A 22,240-nucleotide genomic window follows, 5' to 3' on the forward strand; every position below is an offset into this window, starting at 1 on the left:
TCAAACCATGTTCTATCATTGAAGCAGACCAGACATGAGAAAGAACTGAAAATTTCACTTTAGCTTCTGTACTGCTGATTCCTCCTATGGGACTAGGGTCATAGGGAGAAAAATCAATGGACTCCAGAGCCAAACAGATCTGGATTTGAATTCTACCTTTTCACCAACCATGTGGCCTTGGGAAAGTGACTATAATCTCTTTTAGTTCCCTCATTTCTAAGAGATAAAAACATACCTTCAGGGACCTCTGTTCCATGCTTCCTGGGCACCCTGAACTTTGTCTTTCAGAACGCTTTTTGTAGTTTCTTACAATCACTTGTTTGATGTTCATTTGCCTTTGTTGCTGGACTGAAGGCACCTTGAAAGCAGTGACTGGATCTGCGTTGGTCGCAGCTATATCTTTATCCTGTGGTACAGTGCCTGGCACATAAGTATTTGCTGAAAGAATGAATGGGTAGATGGATGAGGGGATGGCTGGATGGCTGGATGGTTAGATGGATGGATGAACAGATGAATGGATGGAGAGATTATTCAGGAAAGTTATAAAGATCCCAGATAATGTATGGAAGGGGACTATCCCAGAATCTGGAATAACCAGGCACTTAAAAATTCCTTTCCACTTGTAGTGGAGGACCTCAGCTTCTCTTCCATCTCTACTTCAGGACTACTTGACTCCGAATATACTATGGCCAAAAAAATATTTCTTGGCTTGCCAGTAATAACAATGCCAGGGCCATGATCTATGGGTTGCTTTAATGAGAGGTTTGTCTGTCATTGCCACAACCATCATATATCTGAAGAGACACAAATGCCCACAGTGAACTCAAGATGCACCAAAAAATATATCATTATAGTAGGAGAAAATGCTGGCTCTTCTAAATGGAAAGAGTGGAGAGCTGACTGGGGATATATCTAAATTTTCTCCTTGTCTAAGAGCTAACCTCTTCAGGAAGGAGATGAATAAAAGAATAACTATTAAGAAATAACTGAGTAAAATAATCTTCTCCCTCCATTCTAGCAGCACTTTAGGTCTGATCTTGCCCTTATAACACTCCGCTTTCTACCTTGTGTTATGGTGATATGTACATGTGGCCAGGGGCCGGATACCCAGCAGGCAGTCAGTTAGTGCTCATTGGATGAATGAATAAGTTGATGTCTTATTTCTTCTCCTAACTGATTCCTGTGGTTAGATTCTGCATCTTGCCTTTATATCTGCACCCATGTCTAGTGCACTATTTTGTGCCAGTTAGGGCGTAAGCTCTGGGTAAATATTTGTTGGATGAATAAATGAATACCCAAAAGGGCTTCTTCTGGAGGAAGGCCAGGAAAACATTCCTTTGATGAAAATAATTTGTAAAGAGGCAGGGAGCTACTGGAAGGCAAATGTCTGGGGAGGAGAGACAGGCCTCTAGGTTGAATAGAAGTAGTGGTGGTGAGGTTGTCTCCAAAGAAAGCAGGGGAGGAAGTGTGTGAATAATAAAAGAGGAAATTGTCCACCAGGAAAGCATCTCCAGCTGGCTGTGATAAATCTGCATTTTGTACCAGCAAGTAGGGAGAGTGCCTCGGGAGAGAGGGAGATCAGGGACATGGCCAGTGGTTTGGCAAAGGTAATGACGATGATAACCAAATTGAAGCTCCTGTGTCTTTTCTTTCCCTCAACCCCTTGTCTCCCTGTATTGCCACCATTTGCTTTCATTTCTCCATCAAACCTCCCTCTTACAAGCTCTATTTTCTCAATTTCTACTTGACCTTCACATCACTTGCCTGTGGCTTCCACCCATACCCCATTGCAAGGTCATGAGAAACCCCCATGTTGCTGCAGCAACAGCTCTCTCCATGTGTATCTCACTGGAGCAGCTGCTGCCTCTGTTAACCACTTCCCCCTTTTTAAATGTCTTGTGCTTTGCCTTTCATGTCGCCCCATCTTGGGGTTTCTCTCCTATCGCTCTGGTCTCTGCCTCTTTCCCTCTTCTTCTCATCCCTTCAGTGCTGGTGCTCCTCAGGGGCTCTGTCAAAGCCTTCCCTCCCCCACTCTCATGTTCCCCCTGTGTCATGTCATCTACTTTAGTGGCTACAGCTGCCATATGTATGCTGGGGTTTCCATTCCTGGATCTCCAGTCCAGGCCTCTTTTCTGAACTGCAGGTCTCTTAGAGATGTTCACTTGGCCATTCCTCAGCCATCGCTTTCCAGCAGCAAAAGCTGAGAGCCTTGCTGTCTGCCAGGCCTGCTTCTCCCCTGGTCTGCCCCTTTCTGTGAATGGCATCACTACCCATCCAGATGCTTAAGCCAAAAACCATTCATCTTCCTCTGCCCAAGCCAGAAGTCATGTTCCCTCCTTTCCTTCCCTGTCCATGTCCAGCTTGTCATCAAGGCCTGTAGATTCTGTCTTCTCCGTGTCCTTCAAGTCCATCCCATTTTCTCCGTCTCCACTGCCACCATTCAAGTTCAGATCATTAATGTCACCTTCCTCGGTTACTGGACAGTCCCTTGATTGGTCTCACTGCCTCTTCTCTTCTCTTTCTCCCATCTTCTCATCCTCCAGTCCACTTTCACTCTCAACTGCAATGATCCTTCTCAAATACAGTCTGGACTCTGTATTATCCCCGCTTGCATTTTCCCTGCCCTTTAGAAGAGGTAAGTCCTTAGCATGGTTGTAAAACGCTTAATTATCTGGCCCCTACTTACTTCTTTAATATAATCCCTCACCCCTCCAAAACACCCTCTGGCCACCCATCCAGACACAACAGAGCCTGTTTCAGCCAGCAAGCTGAGACACTTCTGGCTCTCAGTGCCATGTCCTGTCTTGCCTCTGGTTCCTGCAGGCCACACCTCAGCTTGTGTATCCTCCAAGAGCCTATCCATCCACATAGACACTCCTTACTGTGGGCTTCTGCAGTAGATGTCCAGGCAATAGCCTATCTGCTTGACTGGGCTCCACGTGCTGTGGTAACAGAACTTACTCTTCTCTTTGTCTTTGGGGACTTTAGGCCTTGCTCTTAGGTTTCACTCCTCTGAGACTGCTCTTGAAGGACCCTGGACAGGGCTACTCAAGGCAGAGGTGATCCGTCAAGGTGTGGGAAGAGCCTGACTGCCCCTGCCCCATGCAGCCTTCCAAAGGCTGAGGAGTCCTACCACCATCAATGCTCCTTGTATGCATCCTCTTGCTATGTTACAGTTGCCTTGTTATTTGTTTGGGACCCTCAGAAGAATGCAAGTTTTGGGTTTCTGTCTTTTACTTGTCCAACACTTTGAGCACCTGCTGTGTCCTGGGATACAGCAGTCATGGCCACTTCAGTTGTGCCATTTGTGCCTAGCTGAGAGGGCAAGTGGGGGCTGAACACAGCCTGGGCTCCCCTCTCCAGGCCACATGCTCTGGCTTGGGGCTCTGTCCCTCAGAGGAAACATCTTCTCTACACACAGGTGCTGTCTAATTGCCAAGCTGTACACCTGCCTGAAAAAGACAGCTTTTTCTAATTCACAAAAAGTACCCAACAGGCTAAGGCTGACCCACACATTGGAGGACAAGATAAATAGGTTCCTACTCTCACAGTGCTATCTGTCTAGCATGGGAAGACAAAACGTAAACAAAGAAATATATAACCACACAGCAAAACGTTTCGGATGGTGAAAAGGCTCTACAGAGAATTGAAGAGAGTATCTGGGGAAATGCTGTAGGTTGGTGGGTCCAGGAAGATGTCTCTGAGGAGCCAGAGCATTTACGCTGAGATCCCATGATAAGGAAGCCAGCAGTGTGCACGCGAGAGGGAAGAGACTGCATGACATCCCTAAGACTGGTATGGTCTTGGTGTGTTCGAGGAGCAAAAGAAAAGCCAGAGTGGATGAGGGCTAAAGGGCAAGAGGAGAGACAAATGCGATGACCAGGGGATGCTGACCGGGGGCCAGATCGTGCAGAGTTTCGTAAGGCCTCTCTACCTGTTCACCGTATTGTGCCCGAGGACTGGCTCGTTGCATTTATCCAATAAGTACCTGTTGAATGGGAGAATCTCATCATGCCTCTGTGTACAGAATAAGTAGCTCAAGACAGAAGCTCCATGTGGCCCCGGTGCCCTCTAGTGACCACAGGCTCCAGCCCAAGGCCCTCCATGGCTTCATCATCTTCAGAAAGTCACTTACTTCCCTTGTCTTTGGGGCCCAGCCTCAGGGTCCAGCAGTAATTCCTGGAATTTGTCTTACTAACTATTCTCTGCAAGTGGGACTCAAGCAGTTAGAAAAATCCGTGCTATGAGTTTCATAGTCAGACTGACAGCAGGCCTTCATCCCTTACCCAAGCAGAGTTTCCAAAGAGAATACATGGATGTCTAATTTCTCAGGGGAGTGCAGGGAACCAGCATTAGCAAGCAAGGTCTCTAACAGCCTTCAGATCTGGGTGTTTTGCAGCAGTCAGGATGACCTCCAGGTAGTCTCGCAGCTCAGGCCTGGCACCATTTGGCCGTGCTGGCCTGACAAGATCATAGCTACAGGCTGTACACTCTGTCCATGAGGACGTGCTGCTGAGGACCCAAGCGTGGGCATAATGTATGTATCAAAGACATATTGTAGCATGTGCACAGACACAACATCCCACTCCTGCTGTTGTTGTTTGCTTTCATTTGGATCCCAACCCATTCTGGGCCCATTAAGCTAATCACCCAACAAATTCTGAACTGTCATCTCATCGTGAGGCTGTTCCATGCTTGACTGAAAAACCTGTTTTCACCCAACTTCCCTGGAAGAAGCCTACTGCAGCCCATTTACAAATGTATGCATCAGTAAATCAAAAGTGACAGCACAGATCTGGCTTTTCTGGGAGAGGGGATGGCAGAGGGAGAAACCCAGTCCTTCCCCTCTGTTTCTTAAATGATGCCATATACACAGCTTTATTTGAAATGTTCTTTAAAAATAGGTCATCTTCAACTTCCTTGATAGCTCATTCTCTACATCGGTGAAACTTTGGCTCCTTTCATTTTCCAAAGCCTCTACCTGTGTTTTTCTGTGAGTCGAGTCATCCTCCACTGAGCCGAGTGAAGGAATCTGGCTCTCCCAGATGTTTGCAGGTATTTCCTCTTCAGTTGTCACTTTGCCAAGTGGAGCACATGTGTTCTTTAATTTTTCTTCATTAATCAGTCTCCAAATTCCTTTACACTTGCTCCTCAGGTGATTCCATCAAATCAACATATTTCTGGAGCTAAAAATGCCTGGAAGAATACAGCCTTCCAGCTGCAGCCATCCAAACGTGTGGATTCGCGTATGTTCCCTGCACTCCATGGCCATATGTTTCCACAGGTTCACTTCCAGGAGCGTTCTGTGTCTCCATTTGCTTCCCTGCAAATGCATACTTAGTCTCATCTGTGAGTTTTCTAACTGAGTCTTAAGGCATCAAAAATTAAGAGCATATTGATAACAGCCCAGTGTTGGTGAGAGAGGGTGTGGGGAAATGGGCATTCTTGTACCCGTTGCTGAGAATTTCAATTGACCTAACTTATTTTGAAGGCCATTTTAAAATAAAATGACCTTTTAAAATAAAAAATACAGAGACCCTTCACCCAGCAGTTCAACTTCCCTGAATCTATACTGCACCTGTATCAGTGTGGCATTGTTTATAGTGGACTGTATCAGTCCATTTCCACACTGCTATAAAGAATGCCTGAGACTGGGTAATTTATAAAGGAAAGAGGTGTAATTGACTCACAGATCTGCATGGCTGGGGAGGCCTCAGGAAACTTACAATCATGGTGGAAGGCGGAGGGGAAGCAGGCACCTTCTTCACAAGGTGGCAAGGGAGAGAGAGAGCAAAGAAAGAAGTGCCACTTTTAAGCCATCAAATCTCGTGAAAACTCACCCACTATCATCAGAACAGCATGGGGGAAACCACCCCCATGATCCAATCACCTCCTACCGGGGTCCCTCCCTCAACACGTAAGGATTACAGTTTTCAAGATGAAACTTGAATTGACGCAGACCGAAGCCATATCATAGCCCAAAGTGGAAAATAGTCTCAATGTCCATCAATTAGAAATTATTACATAAATGAACTAAGTATATTTTGCTATACTCATGTAATGGAAGTCCAAGCAACAGTTATAAAAAGAAAATAACATAGATCTATGTGCGCTGACATGGATAGATGCTAAAACAATATCATGAAATTCAAACAGCAAATTGCAGAACAGTATGTATGGTATGAAACCATTTTTGTAAATTTTTATTCTAGCTATTCACAGAACAAAATCTGGAAGGATTCACACAAATCTCTTAATGGTGCTTTTTTTTCCCCCTCAGGTTGGGAACTTTCTACAGTGTACATGTTTAAATTATTGGACTTTTTCTGTTTTTCAGCAATGGTGTATTACTTTAAAGTTCAGTAAAAACAACGGAGGTATTACTTTATTTTTGCTGTGCTCTTGAACCAGGAAGATGAGCTTTTATGCCACCTATTCCCTATTGCCCCGATTGTTCCCTAGTCTTTCTCAGACATGGAGGAGCTTTCTGTAGGCTAATCCCAGAATTCTTTGTTTTCCCTCAAAGACCAGAACAGCAGCATCATCTTTTTGGGGTTTAGTTAAAACTTTAGCACGTAAGGTTTTCTTAAGGTGGCTTTCAAGTCTTAACCTGCACTTCCAGGCCCCTTTAACCCGCTTTTCTTTCCTCTTCTTTTCTTTTCTTAACATGTTCAGATTCTTTATGGATTATTTCAACGGTCTTATTACCCATTTTTTAAAGGTTTTGATCATTTTCTAAGCATCTGTATCTTCCCCCTCCTTCCCCATCCTTTCATGAGAGGAGACACCTGTTTCCCAGCCTGCTTAGAATTACTCGTTGATATTTGTTTCACAGAATTTTTAAAAGAGGGCCAAAGGAATCGGACATGACCTTTTGCAGCAGAAATAACTGTCTTTTGTCTCACTCCTAGCTCTTCCTGCACGAATACTGTACATGCTGTGTGTGTTATTACAACAGTTATTTTTGTTGGGTCTTTTTATATCTACTTTATTTTTGAGGTGGTGATTTATTTAGTCAGTGTACTTTTAAAAAAAACTAGCACTCCTACAAATTTATTTCTCATTATTTTTAATTTTTATATAAGCAATATATACAGAAAATTGTAAAATACAAGTAAGCAGAAGAAGAAAATAGAAATCACAAGTATTTTTACTATCAGGTATAGCAAGCCTTAATAATTGGGTTTATTGCCTCCTTGATAATTTCTACATATATGAATATTTACCTTTTCTTAAAAATGAGATTATATTTAATAAATTATTTTATAACCTGATTTGTTAATACTTAACAATGTAGCATAAGTAGTTTCTTATCATTAAATGTAGATAATAACAGCAAGTTTAGCATTTACTGTATGCCAGGCATGAGACTACACATTGTATGTTATTTTTTCTCCTAATTTATCTTACGCCCACCCTTCAGTAGGAAATTTTCTTATGGCACTCTTTATCTGGAGTAATCTCTCTTTTGTTGTTGTCGTTCTGTTAGTCTCTTCTTTTTTAGCTTTCTCCTACACATGGCTTTCATGAAGTGAAACATATTTGTGATTTTTTGTTTACAGATTAAGCATTATAAATATTAACCCATCCAGTGCTCATGACAATGCTGTATGTTGGGTGATATTATTACTCTCATTGTATAGATTTTAAAAACTGAGATACAGAGAAGATAACTTGCTTAAGGTCACACAGCTAGTAAGTGACAGAGCTGGGTTTTAAACCTAAGCAATCTAGTTCCGGAGGCTATGCTCTCAACCGCAAACTCTCATTTTCATGACTAAATCTATGATAATTATTTCACCACTCCCTTCTTTCTGTGCTTTTAGGTTTACTCTTACACACAGCAGAGCGATGAACATCTTGTTCATCTATATCTTTGTACATGTGTTCAATTACTACCTTAGGCTAGATTCCCATGAATAGAATTGCTGAGTCAAAAGGTTGACGCATTTTTTAAAGGTTAGATACATATTAGTCAAAGTTTTTAAGCAATATGCTTTCTAAGCCTCTTTGATCTTTATAATTCATTGTTCCTTTCTAAAAATATATAACTGTCTTCTGCGTTCAAGGATAATTTTTTTTATTAATATGGGGCTTCTTGTTCTACTTCCTCCCCTTTCGTTATTTCTTCAAAATGTTTAACAAACTAATACATTTCCAGAACACATTATGCTTCATCTTGTCACTATTTCCAGTACCTTGTATCTCCTGGACTTTATGCAATGCGTGTGTGTGCACAGATGGAATATGTTCCACCATTTGGCTTAATGACAATTTTTCACACCACTAATTTTCTTTCTTTATTTTATTTTTTCTTTTAAGCCTCACAAGAATTCAAGTAACATATATAATAGTTTTGTTTTCTTGATTTCAATATATGTAAATTTGGGGGGACTGCCTGGCAAGGATGAATGATGTGTCAGAGGTCTAGAAGACAAAGCTCTCACCTCTGCCTCTAACTTGTTTTATGACCTTGAGGAAACCACTTAATCATTCTGCATTTCATTTTCCTCATTTGCCAAATGACAAAGTGAACTAAATGACCTTGAAAACCTATTTTTTTTTTAAGTGTCAGCCTATCCAAGACGCAAGTTGATCTTTGAAAAGTATTGTTTGAAATTAGGGCAAATATGTGTGTGTGTTGGTGGGGCAGAGTTGGAGGCACTAAAGATTAGTTTCAACATATTAAAAATGTTTTGTGCTCTGACGCTTGACCAAGGCCTCCTGACAGTGTGCTTTAGTGGTTTGTGAAACATATTTCTAAGGCCAAGGTAATTATAGTTGTTCCACTGAAGCATGACAAATGGCCCCTCACTTTGAATTCTTTTATGGGAAAGAAAAACCTTCCATGACAACAGCCCTGGAACTTAATGACAGGCTCCAGATCTGGGGGCAAGAATAGAGACAGACATTAGCTGCAGTGAAGAGAGAGAAGACAACAGCACGGGCTCACCTGGGAAGGATCAGGGCGAGGTGATGTAACAATAACAACAACTCATTAATGACATTAGTGGGGCTCTGCTGAGAACTTGCTATTGACCGGACGTTGTCCCAAGAATTTCATATGCATTGTCTCATTTAATTCCCACAATGCGGCCGGGCGAGGTGGCTCACGCCTGTAATCCCAGCACTTTGGGAGGCCGAGGTGGGTGAATCACGAGGTCAGGAGTTTGAGACAAGCCTGCTCAAGATGATGAAACCCCATCTCTACTAAAAATACAAAAGTTAGCCGGTTGCAGTGATGGGCACTTGCAATCCCAGCTGCTCGAGAGACTGAGGCAGGAGAATCACTTGAACCTGGGAGGCGGAGGTTGCGATGAGCTGAGATTGCACCACTGCACTCTAGCGTGGGCAACGGAGCAAGACTCCATCTCAAAAAAAAAAAAAAAAAAAAAAATTCCCACAGTGCCCCTAAGAGATAGATTATGAGATAGGTACTTTTATTTTTTCTGTTTTACAAAGATGAACATTGGGAGGTTCTTTAAAAAAGAAGCTACATAACCTCCTTTGAATTATTTAGCCGTTAGTTGTCAGAGATAGGATTTGAACCCTGAGAGTTCATTCATTCATTTAATACATTTGTTTTGTTTTGTTTTGTTTTGAATGCCTGTTACACGTCAGGCACCTGTCTAAAGGCTGGTGACGCAGAAGTGAATGAAGCAAAATTCTTGCTTTTATGGAGTTTGGCTAATAGAGGATGAGAGCAGTCATAACAAACCAACAAATCAATAAATAATTTCAGAGGGTAATAGTGCCGTGAAGAAAAATCAGCTCTCTGTGAGGAGAGTGACTGGCATAGGGGGAAGGCCACTTTACAGGAACCTGGCAGGTAGAGCCCCTGAGTGATGACATCAAGCTGAGCCCTATGCGATGGAGCCAGTGAGCCATGCAGCGATCTATTGGAGGGCATTTTACCTGCAGAGTCCATCAGAGCAAAGGTCAAGGACTCGAAAGAGCTTGGCTTGTTTTAGGAACAGAGAGAAAGCCAGTGTAGTTGGATGATAAGTGAAAAAAGGGAAAAATTGTCTACGGTGGAGTCAGAGAGGCGGGCAGGCTCCCAGTGATGCAGGACCCATGGGCCACAGTAGGATGCTTGGAATTTATTCCATGTGCAGGGAAGACCTTGGAGGATTTTACACCAGGAAGTGTTGTGATCTCCAGTCTCTGCAGGCAGACTTCTTCCTCTAGGTTATGTTGCCAACAAGGAGCATCTGGAACAGACTGGGTTGTTTACGTAGCCCACAGCCTAAAGGAGTGTTAATTTAGGGGCCAGTGTTTCAGATGAAACAAAACTCTAGGGTTTCCACAGAACAACAAGACTGAAATGGACAGTGAGAGGTCACCTTAGCTGAACTTCTGACTTTAGGTAAGAAGACCTTAGATCCAAGTGGAGCATCTGGACTATACTAAAGATCTGCAGAAAGGGGAACTTCATCTTCTGTCTTGAGACCTTCCCCGAGTATATAGAAGGCGGTGCTCTAGATACTGAACTTGCTTGACCACTTCTTGGTCTGGAGGTTGTGCTTGCGTCATAGAGTAAACCTCATCCAAAATAAGAAGACATTACAGCTTTGAGTAGGTGGCATCTCAGGGATTTGCATTTGTGTGCAGTCTGTCGTGTGTGTGTGTGTGTGTATGTGTGTGTGTCTCTATTTATCTTTGAAAAAAATATTTTTGAAGATGCCTTCAACATTTTAACATAGAGGGCCGGGGCACGGTGGCTCATGCCTGTAATCCCAGCACTTTGAGAGGCTGAGGCGGGTGGATCACTTGAGGTCAGGAATTCAAGACCAGCCTGGCCAACGCGGTGAAACTCCATCTCTATTAAAAAATACAAAAATTAGCTGGGTGTGGTGGCACACGCCTGTAATCCTAGCTACTTGGGAGGCTGAGGCAGGAGAATTGCCTGAACCTAGGAGGCAGAGGTTGCAGTGAGCCAAGATCATGCCACTGCACTTCAGCCTGGGTGATAGAGTGGGACTCTGTCTCAAAAAACAAACAAACAAAAAACAAAAAAAGCAAAAAACAAAAACGTCAGAAATGCCTGGCATTTCTGATGAGGTGGCATTGTATGGATGGGACTAGAATTTGTTTTGTAAACTCATCAACTTGCTTATTTTATTTGAATGCTCTTTATAAACTAATACTCATGTTAACCCATTGAAATTGATTTGTGTCACCTAAGGGATGAAATTAATTGGTTGTTTGGGTTAAAGCCTTGCTATTATAAGACACTGTTCTCTTACTTTGACAAAAATATTCAGAGTTCATGAATACATTGATTTAGCAAAACCCAGTTTGAATAACATGGTAAACCATCACTAACGCACTGACTGTGTGTGTGCCTAGGTGGCTGACTATCCCTCTGTAGGTTCTTGACAATTCAAGCCTAACAGTACAGATTTGTTTGTGTGAAATGAGCATGGGAGGCATTTAGTTGAGCACTGTGATACAGTGGGCCCCAGAGAGCAAGGTAATAATTGTGAAAGAATTCCATTTAAGCTGCACAAGTGAGTATGATTTGGGGAAGAAAACCACCCTTGAGTTAGTTTTTATTTATAAAGAGCATATTTGTTTCTCAGGTGGAAAAACATCCTCAAACCACCTTTCTTCGTGAATGAGTTCAGAAAAGTCTAACAGCCAGGCGCAGTGGCTCACGCCTGTAATCCTAGCACTTTGGGAGGCCAAGGTGGGTGGGTCACTTGAGGTCAGGAGTTCAAGATGTGCCTGGCCAACATGGCGAAATGCCGTCTCAACCAAAACTATAAAAAATTGGCTGGGTGTGGTGGCGCACACCTGTAATCCAGCTACTCAGGAGACTGAGGCAGGAGAATCACTTGAACCCAGGATGCGAAGGTTGCAGTGAGCAGCCTGGGTAACAGAACGAGACTCTGTCTCAAAAAAAAAGAAAGAAAGAAAAGTTTAACAGGACAGGAACACAAGGACGAGGGTAGTCTAAGGGCAGGCTTTGTGGTGCACCAGCGGTAGAGGATGATGAGAACAGAGTTTCCATATCTAAAGGTGCTGAACTAGAGAACTCTCAAGGTTCCCTCACATCAACGTTCTGTAGTTTGGAAAAAAAGGATTTTTTTCTGCTCTATGAGTTAGACCGTGTTTTCCCAAGGCCTTATAGCTGTGAGTGCAGGACGACTCTAATAACTGCATCAGAATTTATAAATTCAGCTGTCAGCATTGGGATGGTTGAGTCGACTGAACAAGCAGGTTTTCTTTCATTGTCTGTTTCCTAGATGGATGAATAACAATTTCAGCCTCTCCACTTTGTTGTAACTCTGTCAGTCTGACATTTCTGATTGCTCAGAGGTTTCTGGAAATTTTCTAAGTCACACGTTGGAGTTAATTCAAAGAGATAATGCAATTCCAATGGAATCATCAGTGTCTCTGCTGTCAGATCGAGTATTTTAGGAGTTCAGTTGGTTGAGTTGCACAGCTCTGCAGATTTAATACTACATACTTGCCGCTTTGCGTCTTGCCCTCAAGTCTTCATAAATGGGCTAAAGGTCTGATTGGAAACTGTGAGATGAATTATATGTTTACTATGCCAAGTTAAGTAAATACCATTTGAAAGGATTACTAGAGGGTATAATCAAGTTAATTGCTTTAAAAATCTTTTTTGATTTACTGGGCTCTATGAAAATTGTTAAGCAATTGATCTGCCATAGTACATGAGCTGAAGAAAGTGGTGCTGAGTCCACAAGGTTTCCATGCACATCCCCTCCCCTGTGTCTGGAACTGCTCCCTAAATGAGAAGAGAGTCCCCCTGAGACCCGCATGCAAGTACTGTGGACAGACTGTTGTTCCTCCAGAGAAGACACATGTTGACAGCTTGACGTTCAGGCTGATGATGGATTTCTTTTTTTTTTTTCATTCTAGATGCTGAAGAATACCAGCCTCCTATATGGAAATCATACTGTGAGTACCTGAAATGAAAATCTCCCCAGAAGTCGTTAGCAGGCCAGCCTTTCTGAACAATTCTTGCCAGCGATGTAGTGCACACAAGCGTTCCCACCTCACAGCACTGAAAACCCAAATCTTTCTTTCCACTGAGGAAAAAGATTAGTCAGAGACGATTAACAGAGCCCCCTCCTCTTACCAAGGCCTCCAAGAACCAGCTGTGGCCCATTTCAAAAATGCTTAGAAAAGAGGGGTGGACTTTCTGACTCTCTGCCTTTCAGTTTGGGGCTTTATTTTTATTTATTTATTTATTTATTTATTTATTTATTTTTTATTTATTGAGACCAAGTTTCACTCTTGTTGCCCAGGCTGGAGTGAAATGGCGCAATCTTGGCTCACCGCAACCTCCATCTCCTGGGTTCAAGCGATTCTCCTGCCTCAGCCTCCCAAGTAGCTGAGATTACAGGCATGCGCCACCATGCCCGGCTAATTTTTTTGTATTTTTAGTAGAGACGAGGTTTCTCCATGTTGGTCAGGATGGTCTCGAACTCCCGACCTCAGATGATCCGCCTGCCTCGGCCTCCCAAAGTGCTGGGATTACAGGCATGAGCCACCGCGCCCAGCCACTTTTATTTATTTTTTTACACAGTTGATCGGCAAGGACAAATGTGTTGACTTCTATGAATTATGTTTTTGGCCAATCATTCTAAGGATAAAATATCATATGACATCAATGCTGAAAAATGAACAGATAGCGAAGAACCTGTTTGGTCACCAAGGGTGACTCTTAGAAACAGATCCTGCCTGATCATCAGTTACCCACCTAGCTCCCCTCGTGAAGGCAGGCGGCTATCATTGCCTAAGCCTTGTCTCCTCTTTTCTTAGTACTATATGCTTGACTCAGGAACTCCCCAGTGAGAGAGGGCAGGACTGTGGTAGGAGGAGCCCACTGTGTCCAGAGCCAGGGTGCGCAGGCCCTGGCTCAGGCTCTGCTTCTGCTGTCATCATTAGCATTCCTAACGAAGCTGCCAGGGTTACCACTCCCCATCAAGAACCTGCCCTGTGCTGGCCACCGCACCAAGCAGCCAAGTCCCGAATTCTTACCACAACTCTCACAGATGGGACTATTTTTTTTTTTTTTTTTTTTTTTTTTTTTGAGACAGGGTCTCGCTCTGTCACCCAGGCTGGCGTGCAGTGGCTCAATCTCAGCTCACTGCAACCTCCACCTCCCGGGCTCAAGTGATCCTGCCCCCTCAGCCTCCCAAGTACCTGGGACTGTTAAAGGCGCCATCACACCCAGATAATTTTTTGTATTTTTATTAGAGATGGGTTTTGCCATGTTGCCCAGAGCGGTCTTGAACTCCTGAGCTCAGGCAATCCACTAACCTCGGCCTCCGAAATTGCTGGGATTACAGGCATCAGCCACCACACCAGGCCTATGTAGACTGTTATTATCTCATTTCACATGTAAGGAAACCACGGCTCAGGGAGGCTAAGTAACTTGGTGAAGTTTTCACAAAAATTAGTGGGGTAGCATTCTGAGTGGAACCCACAGCCTGCACGTGTCCAAGACTTGTCCATTCTATTCAGAATCTTATATATACCTATGTGCATGTATACACACACACATAAATACACATATTATGTATGGATATATAATATATACACACAGCCACACACACACATATATAAATATGAATGTACGTATTTGTTACAAAAGCAATACAAAGCTACATAAAAGACAGATATTAGGGAAATACATAAAACGGAGAGTAAAAATTTCCCAACATCCACAAATTCCCCACCCCATATTCCAGTCCACTCTCTCCTTTCCCAGTAGCTGAGCTCTGTGAATGTGGGGAGGGAGATCCTTCTGATTGTTTAAAAGTGCATGCTTCATGTTAGGCATTTTTGTTGTTGTTGTGTAAAAATGGCTTGATGCTGTGTCCTTCAGCTTGCTTGTTTCACTTCACAAACATCTTGTTTTTATCTCTCCTTGTCAGCACATACAGAGGCACCTTGTTCTTCGTTACATAAGTCTGTTCTTCCATCTGTGAAATAAAGGGGCTGTGCTGGGTCTCTAAGGGCCCTTCCAATCTAATGCTCTGTATTCCGATCTTCTACTTTGAAAGGCCGTGCTAATGACTTAGTACTTGGATGTTTTTGTTTGTTTGTTTCCTAATGGAGTGTGAAGAGCTCTGACAGTAAATCAACAGAATATCTGTAGTGAGAGGCATTGGGTGTTCCATGACTTACTGTGCTTTGCACACTGGCTCGCGCATGGCCTTGCGTACATTAACGACCCAATAAATATTTGTTGAGAGAATGCCACCACCGAAAGCTTTGCTGAAGCGAAAAGATGGCATTGGCTCAAATTCATTTTGCCTTCTTCTAAGAGACCTTGGGCCACCCAGTAACATCTCTTAAAAGTACTTCTATGTCTTGAGGAAGCTGGAAAATCCTTGCTACTTAAATTTAACAGTATCAATTTTAACCCTTCTGTATTAGTTTTAAGTTTGATTTTTGGATCTAACCAAGTTGTGTGTTTTAAAAATTTGCTCTATAATCATAAAACTTTACTTGCAAAAGTTCCTCTTTATTATATCCAACTAATAGTCCTCCAGGCTCTATTTGAGAGCATCTAGTGATGTAGCTCTCCAAAAGTGAGGGGAGTATGCCATCCACGGCATCAAAAACATGTTGACCAAAGCCCTACAGACCACCAGTGAGGAAGAACTCTCTTTTGGTCATCCTGGATCCATGAGTTATTTGAGTTTGGGTGTTAGACCACGTATGAATTATCGAGCTCATGCTACTCCATCTTATTTCCAAGAATATCATCCATTTGTTTAATCTTTCAGCAAATACATTCTAAATGTCAGAGAATAAGTGTTAGAAATCAACAATGAATAAAATGTGGCTTATACTTCCCTCCAATGTACAATCTAGTCAAGGAGACAGATGTAAACCAATAAACTTAAAATGCAAATGAATTCTGGTAACAAAATGCTACTCCTCTATCTCCTGGGAAAGAAGACTATAGAAGAGGTCAAATTTGCATGTGGGTCTTGAAGGATGACTAGGAGAAGGAATCTGAGGGCCTTCATGAGATGCTTTTTAAAAAATCCAAATATGCTAAAATGATACCATTTCTTGATATGAAAGTCCAACAAAGCTATCAGAATATTGAATTTGTTTTATTTTAAATAAACTGTTGGTAAACCCGTTGTGAACCCCAGAAATTACCAAGCCTTTCTCTTTGAAATGTTCACAAATTATCCTTTGAGAGGTTAATTTTAGATACTGATGTCTAACTCATTATATCATGTATGGATTCCATATTCTTCCATCACACACTTTTTTAAACTCTAGCAATTTTCGGTACTATCAATTCTCTCATATATTTACTAGAGACAGTATATTTTTGCCATAGCATAGGACTTGGTTTAAAAATTTATTATTTGCAATGATTAGACAAGTAAGTAGCTATGTCCTTGTTTTCATTGACGTTTTTTTGGCCATAACTTTGACTTATTTAATGTCAGATTCTTGTTATGAAGCACTAGCCCCAATTATGGCATTATTCCTACAAGAAAATTTGTCTTAACCAGGCATGGTGGCATGCCTTGTAGTCCTAGCTACTCGAAAAGGCTAAGGTGGGAGCATCACTTGAGCCCAGGAGTTTGAGGCTGTAGGGAGCTACGATCACACCATTGCACTCCAGACTGTGCAACAGCGAGACCCTGTCTCTAAAAAAAATTTTAATTTAAAAATAAAAGAAAATTAGTCAATTTCTAATGATGATTTATTTATTTATTTATTTATTTTCTTTTTTGAGATGGAGTCTCGCTCTTTCACCCAGGCCGGACTGCGGTGGTGCTATCTCAGCTCACTGCAAGCCCCGCCTCCCGAGTTCACGCCATTCTCCTGCCTCAGCCTCCCGAGTAGCTGGGACTACAGGCACCCGCCACTGCGCCCGGCTAATTTTTTTTGTATTTTTAATAGAGACAGGGTTTCACCCTGTTAGCCAGGATGGTCTCGATCTCCTGACCTCGTGATCTGCCCGCCTCGGCCTCCCAAAGTGCTGGGATTACAGGAGTGAGCCACCGCGCCCAGCCTAATGATTGATTTTAAGAAGCGGTTTCTACGTTTTATTCTTGGCTGCAAGCAACAGAATACTACTCTCAATCACATTGATTGACTTAAGCCAAAAGTGCAGAGGCATTGGCTTCAGACATGACTGTTCCAGCAACTCAAATGACATTACCAAAATCCAGTGTATATTTCTTCTTTTCTTGGCTCCGCTTTCCTAGATTTCACCCTACTCTTACTATGTTCTTCCCTTGGGATCCCCCTGTAACTATCAACAATATCAGGGCTGTGCTTCCTTATCCAAAAGCAACAGGCAAAGAGACAGTCTACTTTCTTGACACATCTAACAAAGTCTCGGAATTGAGTCTCAGTCTTAATTGACCTGGGTTACCCATTCCTGACTCTATCACTGTGGTCAGGGATGTGCTGACTGCCCTAAACCAATCAGGACTCACTACTGGAATTCAGGAAAGGATCAACCCCATATAACCCTGTATAACATGATTGGAAAATTTGGAGTAATATTGGAAGGAGGAAGATGAAAATGGATGCTGGGAAGGCAACCATAAATATCTGGCTAAGAAATTTAGAAGGGTAAGAAATCAGCTCTCTCAATATTTTATATAAATTATAGTGTTCATTAATTTAGTCACTCCTTCATTCAACAAATGCATATTAAGTCTCTGCCTTAAGCCGGGCACTGTGCTTGGAGTTGGGCCACTAAGATGGATAAGGTCGGCTGTTGACTCAAGGAACGGTGATGCCACGGGATGGCCTTTAAGTCCCTGCCCTCTCTGTTCCTTTCCTTTTCTTAGAAAAGGAAAAAAAAGGAAAAAGCTTCATGGCTTACTGAGCTGTTTCCATAAAATAATCTTGTCCCAAAGTATCATACATCTGCAGCTAATTCTTAACTCTCAAGACTGAATACAAGAAACATTGATGACGTCACTGAGAAAGCTTTGGTTTCAATGCTCTAAAAGAAGAGCTACTTTCAAGTTTACTTAAAAATAATAATAAAGCTACATTCTAAACTTTAAGCCAGAACTGTATGAACTTTATGCCTCGAGCAGGCAAGTTCAAAAGCCAATCACCATGGTTATGCTCTGAAAGATTTTCTTTCTTAAGAGGCCAAGTGCCAATTAGGCAGCAGATGCAGTGGCTGACAGCTCTCCCTGGAGGCTCCCCTGGGCAGCAGGTCACTCAGGCATAGCTTGTGCCTGTTTTACAGATTTGAAGTTTAGAGCCTCAAAACCCTGATCTGCAGAATCCCTGCATCAGAATCCCTTGGGGAGGATATTTATGATAATTATTCCTCAGCCTTACCCCAGATCTCTGGATCAGAAAAGTGGGGGGATCTGCAATGTATCAAACCCCACAGGTTTCTCTTATACATACTTACGCCTGAAACCCCTCAGTGTGTGGGCAACTGTCATCTCCTCCTAGAGGTTTTTCACAGTGCCATTAGACAAGATAATTAAATCCCCATTAAGACTCGACATTCTGGCCGGGTGCAGTGGCTCACGCCTGTAATCCCAGCACTTTGGGAGGCCGAGGCAGGCAGATCACCTGCGGTTGGGAGTTCGAGACCAGCCTGACCAATATGGAGAAACCCCATCTCTACTGAAAATACAAAATTAGCCAGGCATGGTGGTGCATGCCTGTAATCCCAGCTTCTCGGGAGGCTGAGGCAGGAGAATCCTTGAAGCCAGGAGGCAGAGGTTGTGGTTAGCCGAGATCATGCCATTGCACTGCAGCCTGGGCAACAAGTGCAAAACCCCGTCTCAAAAAAACAAAAAAAATTGACATTCTGTTAGGAAGGCAAGGCCTTCCCATGGCAGGGTGGAGGGTGGGGTTGAGCCAAGGAAGACACCTAAAGCACCTACAATTCCCTGCTTATAAGGTTTTCCCATGAAAATCGGGAAGACATGAGCAGTGAGCAGGGTCATACTGGCTCAGCGTCATGGCCAAGTGCCTGGGTTCAGCTCCTGGGTCCATATACCCTCCTTAGAAAGAAGTAGACTGTTAGAAGCCATCCCTGCAGGATCTCTTAGGAGCTGATGGGGCTGGCCTGGGCTTCAAGGCCACCCAGGCTGTGGGCTTTCACCCATTAGCCGTCTGATTCTGTTCCCAGAGTGAGTCAAGTTTTCTTACTGAAGAAAAAGTAAAACAGTCTGTCAGTGAGCTCACAATTTCTTAATCTGCTTTGGGTTTCTTGGGGAGTTAGGGAGCTCCACCTCCGTGTTCCCCAGTGGCTGCCACCCCTGCCAAACAGCTTACTCTGGTGCTAAGAATTCTCTGGTGTGCGGCAGAGGGCCCGGGGCTGGGAATTCCTGGCACATATTTGGGACATTGCTGCAGAAGTAATTCCATCACGTCACCTCTCAGCTCACAGACCACCCAAGAATTGACATACATTATTGCATGTGACTTGTGAAATGTGTTTGTTGAACAAGGAAAATTCAAGAAGCAACGTTTTCAGATTATGCGATAAATTTCTGTTATATTCAACTCTGCCTCAGAGATTTTTTTCATGGATGCTATAGCTAACCTTGAAAATGATGGGCAGGCTCTCATTTGAAGCTAAGAGAGGAGATTGGGCCTTATTTTTATATGGTTGCCGTGGTAATTGATTGTCATCTCATTATCTTTATAGCCAGCCAGGTAACCCAGATGGCAAATAGGCTTCTGTGCCTACTTGCCAACTTCTGTTGTTTGGAACAGCATAGAACAGGGTTTTGCAGATTCTGAGACCTGCTCATTGAGAAATAAGTCATCAAATAATGATGTCTACTGCCGAGGGGCCAGGAGAGAGAGGTGGCAGTTCCTCGCTTCTGGGGTTTGCCTTCCCCTTCCCTCCTCCAAGTCGCCCCTGGCTGGGGATTGTTCTTTGTTGGTTGTGAGATTGGTGAATTACCAAATTTTTCTTTGCTAAAGCTCAGAGGGTTCCTAGAGAATGCAGCTATGGGATTTAGCCTGTTGACATAGGAGAGGAACTGTCCAGAAATGTTCCATCACCTGCATCCTTTATTTGTATAGTAGCATCTCAATCTCTCAGCCGCTCAGGGTCTCTTTGTAAACCAGTCTTGTTGATTCTCTTTTGAATCTCTGAGGCCATCAACTCACCTTCTCATTTGCATTTGCACCAGTGTTATCTTAACTCACACTTTCACAACCTCATCTGTGTACCAGTAAAACACTGTTCTCTCTTGCTTCCTTGTCTCCAGTGTTCCCCATGTCTGATCCCTCTTTCAGCAAGGCAAAGGACAGTGGCTCCTACTCCTGGATATGCATGAGTCTCTTGAAGAGCTTTAAAAAGAACAGATCTGGGGGCCCCTGGCCGGACTGGGAGAGTAAGCAATGCCAGAGATGGAGTCTAGGAATCTGTATTATTTTATAACTCCTAGGAGTTTCTAATGTGAGCAGCTCCTCATGGGACCTCTCCACCATCTAGTTAGGCAACCACTGGCTGAGGCTGAAAACTACAGCCTTTGGGTTTTGGAAATCAAGGCAATGAATCTTCATTTCATCCTCTGATCTGTGTGACCTTGAGCATCTTCAAAGCTGGCAGGCAACCCCGCTACCTTATTAGTGAGGGGAATAACAGTTACCTTGGAAGCTTTTTGGGAAGATGAAGTGAGAAGATGCATATAATATGCCTGGCACATGGTCTGTGCCCAGAAAAGGGCAGCATTTCTTCTTCTGAATAACCTTATCCCTATTACCAATATTTTAAAACAGAGTAGATCATGGCTCCTGCTCAAACATGTGACTGTCCCTTTGTTACAGACAGGAGGACAGTCACGGTCCCCAGCATGTCATTCAAGGTCCAGCCCCACATGGCCTTCTCACACATCCCACGCCCTGGCTCAGCAGCCACACTGGCCTCTTGCTGACCAGTCAGCTCATCATTTCCTTTCCCTGCAGTTCCTCTTTCCTCTATCTGTAACTCTCTCTCTTCTCTACCTGCAGAACCCTTCTAATCCTTCAGGAGAGCTCCCTGCCTCTTCCCTTGGGAAGTTGTTCTGACCACTTGAGTACATTGAATAGCTTCCTCCTCTTCCCCTATTAAAGTACTTGGCCCACCTTGGTTTTGTGTCTCCATGCATGTCCCCCATCACTGGCATCTCCTCGAAGGCACAGATTGTGACCCATGGGCCATTAGATACAGTCTGTTCATTCACCAAATAATTAAAAATGTGTTCACAAAGCCACTTGAGCCACACTTCCCATATATCACTGTTGGTTTCAAGAGGCATTAATAATGGGAAGAGAAAAGTGAACAGGATTCTCTCGCTGTGGATTCTATAGTCCTTCTTAGATCTGGAACTCTGTGATTCTAGGAGATGGCCCCTTTGACTCCTGTTACACACACACTGTCAGTAACATTCTGCTAAAAAGCAGCTTAGTAGTATTGGGCTGATTCAAGAGGAATAAAGGGACACATATGCATTAAACATGTACTACAAGGCTGAGCGTGGTGGCTCACGCCTCTAATCCCAGTGCTTTGGGAGGCCGAAGCAGGTGGATCACTTGAGGTCAGGAGTTCGAGACCAGCCTGACCAATATGGTGAAAGCCTGTCTCTACAAAAATACAAAAATTAGCCAGGCATGGTGATGCGTGCCTGTAGTCCCAGCTACTCGGGAGGCTGAAGCAGGAGAATTGCTTGAATCCAGGAGGTGGAGGTTGCAGTGAGCCGAGATTGTGCCACTGCACTCTAGCCTGGGCAACAGAGCAAGCCTCCATCTCAAACACCACCACCACCACCACCACCATCTACTATGTGCCAAGCACAGTTCTAGTTGCTGGGGATTCTGCAGTGCACAGAACAACATCCCTGCCCTCAAAGAGCTTACATTTTAATCAAGGGAGATGGTACACAAAATAAATAAACATAATATTTATTTCTTGTTTATTAATTGTGTTAATGATGATGAGTGCTGTGAAGAAACTTAAAACTATATAAGAGAACAGAGGGATAGGGTGGAATTTTATACAGGCAAGTCAGGGAAGGCCTCCCTGATAAGGTGAGGTTTAAGCAGATACTTGAATGAAGGGAGAGAGCGAGCCATGTGGATATCTTGGGAATGAGTAATCCAGGTAGAAGGAACAGTAACTGCAAAAGCCCTGAGGCATGGGAGATATAAACCAGGGAAGCAGGGTTGATGGCACCCGCCTGTATTCGCAGCTACTTGGGAGGTGGGGACAAGAGGATTGTTTGAACCCAGGAGTTTGATT

General features: G+C 43.3%; 1 protein-coding gene across 12 annotated transcripts in view; it reads left to right on the forward strand.

The window, feature by feature from the left end:
- Positions 1-22,240, forward strand: part of CHN2 (chimerin 2) — a 367,738-nt gene that overhangs the window by 195,143 nt on the left and 150,355 nt on the right. For all 12 annotated transcript variants that reach the window (XM_011515105.3, XM_011515106.3, NM_001398427.1 and 9 more), the window contains one exon: positions 12,892-12,930. Coding sequence is in view for 7 of the 12 variants with exons in the window: in XM_017011722.2 (XP_016867211.1) it covers positions 12,892-12,930 (39 nt within the window). In the remaining 5 variants the exon portion in view is untranslated. The remainder of the gene's footprint in view (positions 1-12,891; positions 12,931-22,240) is intronic.

The sequence above is a fragment of the Homo sapiens genome, chromosome 7, assembly GCF_000001405.40.
Source record: "Homo sapiens chromosome 7, GRCh38.p14 Primary Assembly".
Classification (NCBI taxonomy): Eukaryota; Metazoa; Chordata; class Mammalia; order Primates; family Hominidae; genus Homo; species Homo sapiens.